The following is a 6,285-nucleotide window of genomic DNA, read 5'->3' on the forward strand; positions in this document are numbered from 1 at the left end:
AGATTGGCAAAAGGCTACTAACTCTGTAGCTAATCTTGTTCTCTTTAATAGGTTTCTTATTAGTTTCTCTACAAAATCAGCTTTCTTTGTTCAAACAAACAATAAAAAAGGAAACAAAGTCCAAGGCTTGCTTAAGAAAAAGACGATGTTTGGTGCAGCAGCACCATGTTCTGTCATGACCTTATTAAATGTCAAAATGCACCAAGCAGAATATTAAAATTATAAATATAAAGCAAATGCAAGCCAAGAAACAAACATTTTCCCATTGTGATGCCATAAGGTATTCAGGTAGGAGCATAGTGCTGTGAAAGCTGCCCAGGTGTAAGGAGAGAAGATTCACATGGCAGTGAGAGCATTGCTTTCTGCCTTCTCCAGCTTGTACTGAAATGTGAGGCACTCTAGAAACTTTGATGCACTTAATTCTCAGGATTACTTTTTAAGAAGTTAAAAGACGCAAAAAAAACCAGAAAGCCCTATCTTTAACTCTCCTGTTTGTCTTTTAAACAATAGCGTCAGAAATACAGTTATGCGGTTGTCCCTACACTCTGATCTTACAAAGCTCAGCTGTGTAGGTCTCCTGGGATGATTCAGGAAACTAGATAGCAATCTCTTATATTGTCTTATAATTATGAAAATATCTTCTATCAAAATTGTCAAGTCACAAATGTCTCTTTGTAGGAATGAGACTAAGCATCTTTGCATATGTTCATGTACTTTTTTTTTTTTTTTTTTCCGAGACAGAGTTTTGCTCTTGTTGCCCAGGCTGGAGTACAATTGTGTGATCTCGGTTCACTGCAACCTCCGCCTCCCGGGTTCAGGCGATTCTCCTGCCTCAGCCTCCCAAGTAGCTGGGATTTCAGGTGTGTGCCACTATACCTGGCTAATTTTTGTATTTTTAGTAGAGATGGGGTTTCACTATGTTGGTCAGGCTGGTCTCAAACTCCTGACCTCAGATGATCCACCCGCCCCGGCCTCCCAAAGTGCTGGGATTACAGGCATAAGCTACCACGCCCAGCCACTATTTGTTTTTTTTTTTTTTTGTAAATTGTCCATAGGCTTTGCTCACCATTCGATGGTTCTTTTGGTTTCTTATTTATTTGAAAGTGCTCTTTGGTATCAATTAACCTTTTCTCTGTGATAACACCTACAATTATTTCCCCCCGGTTTGTTACTTGCCTTTTGATTTGCTTCTAGTATTTATTTTTACTATGAAAGAGACTTTTTCTTCTGTGTTTTTTGTTTTACATATAGTTATGTCTATATAAATATGTTATTTACTTATATAAATATTTGTATTACACAATCGAGTGTCTTTTCTTTTATAGCTTCTGGATTTTGAAACATAGTTTGAAAGGTCTAACTTACTCCAAGATTATAAAAGAATTCCCCACGTCATCTTTGAGTCTTTTTAGTTTTTTTTTTTTTATGTTGGACTTACTAGACAATAGTCTGGTTGTGTGTTTACATCTGAAAGCCATTGGAGTTTATTCTGGTGCACAGTTCAAGGTATGGATCCAACTTTATTCTGCTGAGATAGCTACCAAGCTATGCCAATACCATTTATGGAATAGTCCAATTTGCCCTGAAGAATTGGATGCCACTTCTATAATACACTAAATATCTATAGTTTTGGGACTTGCCATTCTGTTCCAGTGGTCTGCCTATACATTCACCAGTAACACTGTTCCAATTATCAAGGCTTTCCAATATGTTTCCAATCTGTTTGGGCAAGTCTCAGCTCCTTGCTCTTCTTCAAACTTATTTTGTCAAATCAGAACATAGGAAGGAAAAAAAAATACCCTACTATCCTGTCATTTCATTTAAAAAAGACATTAACACCAAAACAGTAAGAAGAACAAAATCTCAGATAATAATCCTTTAAACTGAATAATTTAGCTTTATGAAAAATGTCAGACATTGTCATTATTTGCCTATTTTGCTGCAAGCCGGTAAGATGAGACCAGCATTGTAGAGCCACGCTTGGTCTTGGTATAGGTGTAAGGAGAGGGAGGGCCACAGAGAGGATGTCACTGGCTAGTCAGTTGCAGGCTCAGAACTTTAACTCAGGTCTTATGATCTCTGGTCTCATCCTCTTAACACCGCCTACATTCTAGGTCCACTACCCTTTATTGAGCTTTCACTCTGGGCAGGCACTTTACATACTTTATGCATTTTCTTCTCACAACGGCCCCACAAGGAAGCTGTTCAACCCCTGTTATATGATACACATGTGGAAACGGAGGTTCAGGGAAGTTCAGTAATTTGTCCAAGGCCACCTGGTGGGTAAGTGGCAGAGCCTGGATTCAAACCTACATATGACTGATTTCAAAGTCTGTATTTTAAAAAAAATTTCAGTCCTCTATGTATCAATAGACTATTATTTTAAATTCTTTATTTTTATTTATTTTTTGCATAGAATGAAACTTCCTTGGGTTCTGAGTAGCATGACAGCTATTAGCTTGTCAGTCTTCATAAACTCCCTGGGCCAGGCCATCTGTCCTTTCATTGATATACGTAGTGTATCATTTCTTTTTCTTTTTTCTTTTTCTTTTCTTTTCTTTTATTTTTTGAGACGGAGTTTCGCTCTTATTGCCCACGCTGGAGTGCAATGGTGCGATCTCAACTTACGGCAACCTCTGCTTCCTGGGTTCAAGCGATTCTCCTGCCTCAGCCTCCCGAGTAGCTGAGATTACAGGCGCCCACCACCACGCACAGCTAATTTTTGTATTTTAGTAGAGACGGGGTTTCACCATGTCGGTCAGGCTGGTCTTGAACCCCTAACCTCAGGTGATCCACCTGCCTCTGCCTCCTGAAGTGCTGGGATTATAGGCATGAACCACTGTGCCCAGCATGTATCATTTCTTTATTTTATTTTATTTATTTATTTTGAGACAGGGTCTCACTCTGTCACCCACACTAGAGAGCAATAGTGTGATCACGGCTCACTGCAGCCTCGACTTCCTGGGCTCAAGTGGTCCTCCCACCTCAGCCTCCTGTGTAGCTGGGATTACAGGAGGGACCACCAGGCCCAGCTAATTTAAAATTTTTTTTTAATTTTTTTAGAAAAATTTAGAGACAGGATTTGCCATGTTGCCCAGGTTGGACTTGAATTCCTGAACTCCAGCAATCTGCCTGCCTTGGCCTCCCAAAGTGTGGGATTACAGGCGTGAGCCACTCTGCCTAGCCCAGGTATGTATCATTTCTTAGGCAGTCATGTCCATCAGGGTCAAGTCAGGAGACAGAAGCCACAGCAGTTATTGGAACAGAAAATTTAACATAAATAATTGTTAACTAGGGTTGGATGCAGTGGCTCACGCCTGTAATCCTAGCACTTTGGGAGGCTGAGGTGGGAGGATTGCTTGAGCTCAGGAATTCAAGACCGGCCTGGGCAACATAGTGAGACCCTGTCTCTACAATAAATACATACATAATTGTTAACTAAGTATACATTTTTTTTTTTACAAGGTAACTGAAAGGGTGAAAGAGGGCTAAGGTATTGTGGAGAGGACACTGTCAGAAGCTGCCACCCCTAGGGCTGGGGGAAGACAGGTAACAGGTTGGAATCATTAAAATGCAGGTGCCTGGAGGAGGGGCCCTGTGGAGCTGAAACTCAAGCACTGAGGAGGCAGCCTCACTAGCTGATGCTGTGTCTCAGCTTAGAGGAGAGGCCCTATAAAAAGGAGACCCAGGCCAGGTGCAGTGGCTCACGCCTGTAATCCCAGCACTTTGGGAGGCCGAGGTGGGCAGATCACCTGAAGTCAGGAGTTCGAGACCAGCCTGGCCAAGATGGTGAAACCCCATCTCTACTAAAAATACAAAAATCAGCTGGGCGTGGTGGTGTATGCCTGTAATCCCAGCTACCTAGGAGGCTGAGGCAGGAGAATTGCTTGAACCCGGGAGGTAGAGGTTGCAGTGAGCCGAGACTGCACCACTGCACTCCAGCCTAGGTGACAAAGCAAGACTCCGTCTCAGGGAAAAAAATAAAAAAAAGGAGACCCAGACCCATGAGGCTCTGGATGAGCCCTGGAGACCACAGATTGAAAAAGAGACACTCCCTGACCTTAAGTGGGAGAGAAAACAATTATTTAACCATGCCAAGAATATCTGTTAGTGGTTCCTGTTCAACATGGCAACCTAGGCACACACATTCACCTCCTCTCTGCCCCAGAGTGGCTCTGAGCTCAGACAGTAAGTGAGAAGAACAAGTGTGCTATGGGCAGCAATCTGGATTAAAGGGAAGACTATTTATAGGTCCTGTGGACACAGAACAACATCAGCCCCAGAGGGAACCCTAAGAATTACTCTAAACAGCGGAAGATGGCCAGACGCGGTGACTCACACCTGTAATCCCAGCACTTTGGGAGGCCAAGGCGGGTGGTTCACCTGAGGTCGGGAGTTTGAGATCAGCCTCGCCAACATGGTGAAACCCCATCTCTACTAAAAATACAAAAATTAGCCAGGCATGGGAGCACATACCTGTAATCCCAGCTACTCGGGAGGCTGAGGCAGGAGAATGGCTTGAACCTGGGAGGCGGAGGTTGCAGTGAGCCAAGATCACGCCATTGCACTCCAGCCCGGGTGACAGACTGAGACTCCGTCTGAAAAAAAAAAAAAAGAGTGGTAGATTTGGCTGTGGACGGCCCATGGTAGGGATATTGGAGCAGCAGGCAAGGAAACGAATGGACCTCCAGCTCTGTTCTGTCGGGAGACAGACCTATGGAGAGCTGGAGCCGAGTCCCATGTCCTTCAGCAGATGTCTTGTCCCAAGGCAGCCAGCAGCTCCATGCTCATGCACCTGAGGAGGAAGCCGATGACCAGGCCTGCTCACTTCCTCCAAGATGAAAATCCCCCCTCACATTCAGGGGATGATGGTACGCCTTCGGGTAAACAAATGCACACAACTGCAAAGGAAATCTCTAGTAAGTACTGTAGTTCTTTATTTATAAATGGGATTGTCCACCAAGAATCGCAAGACATTTGAGGAAATTCAACAGCTTGAAAGAGAGAGACTAAAATGACTGAGGCCGGGCACAGTGGTTCACACCTACAATCCCAGCACTTTAAGAGGCCGAGGCGGGAGGATTGCTTGAGACCGGGAGTTTGAGACCAGCCTGGGCAACCTGGTAAAACAATGCACACAATGCATGGTGCATGAGAGGCCCTGTCTCTACAAACGGTGAGACCCTGTCTCTACAAAAATACAAAAAATTAGATGGGCATGGTGGTGCACACTTGGAGTCCCAGCTACTTGGGGAGCCGAGGTGGGAGGATCACCTGAGCCCATTGATATGGAGGCTGCAGTAAGCCATGATTGCACCACTGCACTCTAGCCTGAGCGACAGAGCAAGACCCTGTCTCAAAAAATTTAAAAAATAAAATAATTGAGTTAATATAAGAATGGCAGGATAATGCAGACAGGGCAGTGGTTCATTAAATTACTTTCTCTATTTTATGTCTACATGAAGTGGTTTTTGAGACTGAGCTCCGCTCTTGTCACCCAGGCTGGAGTACAATGGTGCGATCTCGGCTCACCACAACCTCTGCCTCCCGGGTTCAAACGATTCTCCTGCCTCAGCCTCCCAAGTAGCTGGGCCTACAGGCATACGCCACCACGCCTGGCTGATTTTTGTATTTTTAGTAGAGATGGGGTTTCACCATCTTGGCCAGCTGGTCTCGAACTCCTGACCTCAGGTGATCCGCCCACCTCGGCCTCCCAAAGTGCTGGGATTACAGGTATGAGCCACTGCGCCCAGCCTATGTGAAGTTTTCATAGTAAAAAATGAAAAGTAAGTGTCACTGAGCACTTACTAGGAGCTAAGCACTGGATATACAGTGGAGAAGGAGAGAGAGTGCCCCTCCCCCATGCAGAGCAGTCAGAAATTAAAGCAAACCACATAAAGTGTGGTGAATGTTATAACTGAGGGAGCAATGACACTTCACAGTGTCAGGACGAAGCAGGAAGCGAGAGAACCAAGAAAGGGAAATGGAAGCTGTGGGGGTGGCCCTAGCAGTGACAGAGCAGGCAGTGTATCTTGTGCCTGGAGGCTTTCCTTTCCCCAGGACCCAGTGCAAAATGAAAATGGAGGGGCCCTTAGTTCAAAAACCAAGAAAAAGTGCCACCAAGGGACTTCTAAAAGCTTTTTTCTCTCTTTAACAACAGTCTCTCTCTTGACTTTTTAAATGTGTTACTTAATGTCATTTTCAGTAAAGGCAAATTAAAATTTTAAATGATTAGCATGAATTTTTTACCCATTCATCTTTGTTTTCTGCAATACCCATTTTAAA

General features: G+C 44.1%; 1 annotated feature.

Annotated features, from left to right (window-relative positions):
* Positions 5,837-5,946: an enhancer, noted in NCBI's record as "active region_401". NCBI's record gives its function as "activates an Ori minimal core promoter by ATAC-STARR-seq in GM12878 lymphoblastoid cells {active_cell/tissue: GM12878}" and the evidence as "EXISTENCE:reporter gene assay evidence [ECO:0000049][PMID:35858748]".

The sequence above is a fragment of the Homo sapiens genome, chromosome 1 (genome assembly GCF_000001405.40).
Source record: "Homo sapiens chromosome 1, GRCh38.p14 Primary Assembly".
NCBI classification, from domain to species: domain Eukaryota; kingdom Metazoa; phylum Chordata; class Mammalia; order Primates; family Hominidae; genus Homo; species Homo sapiens.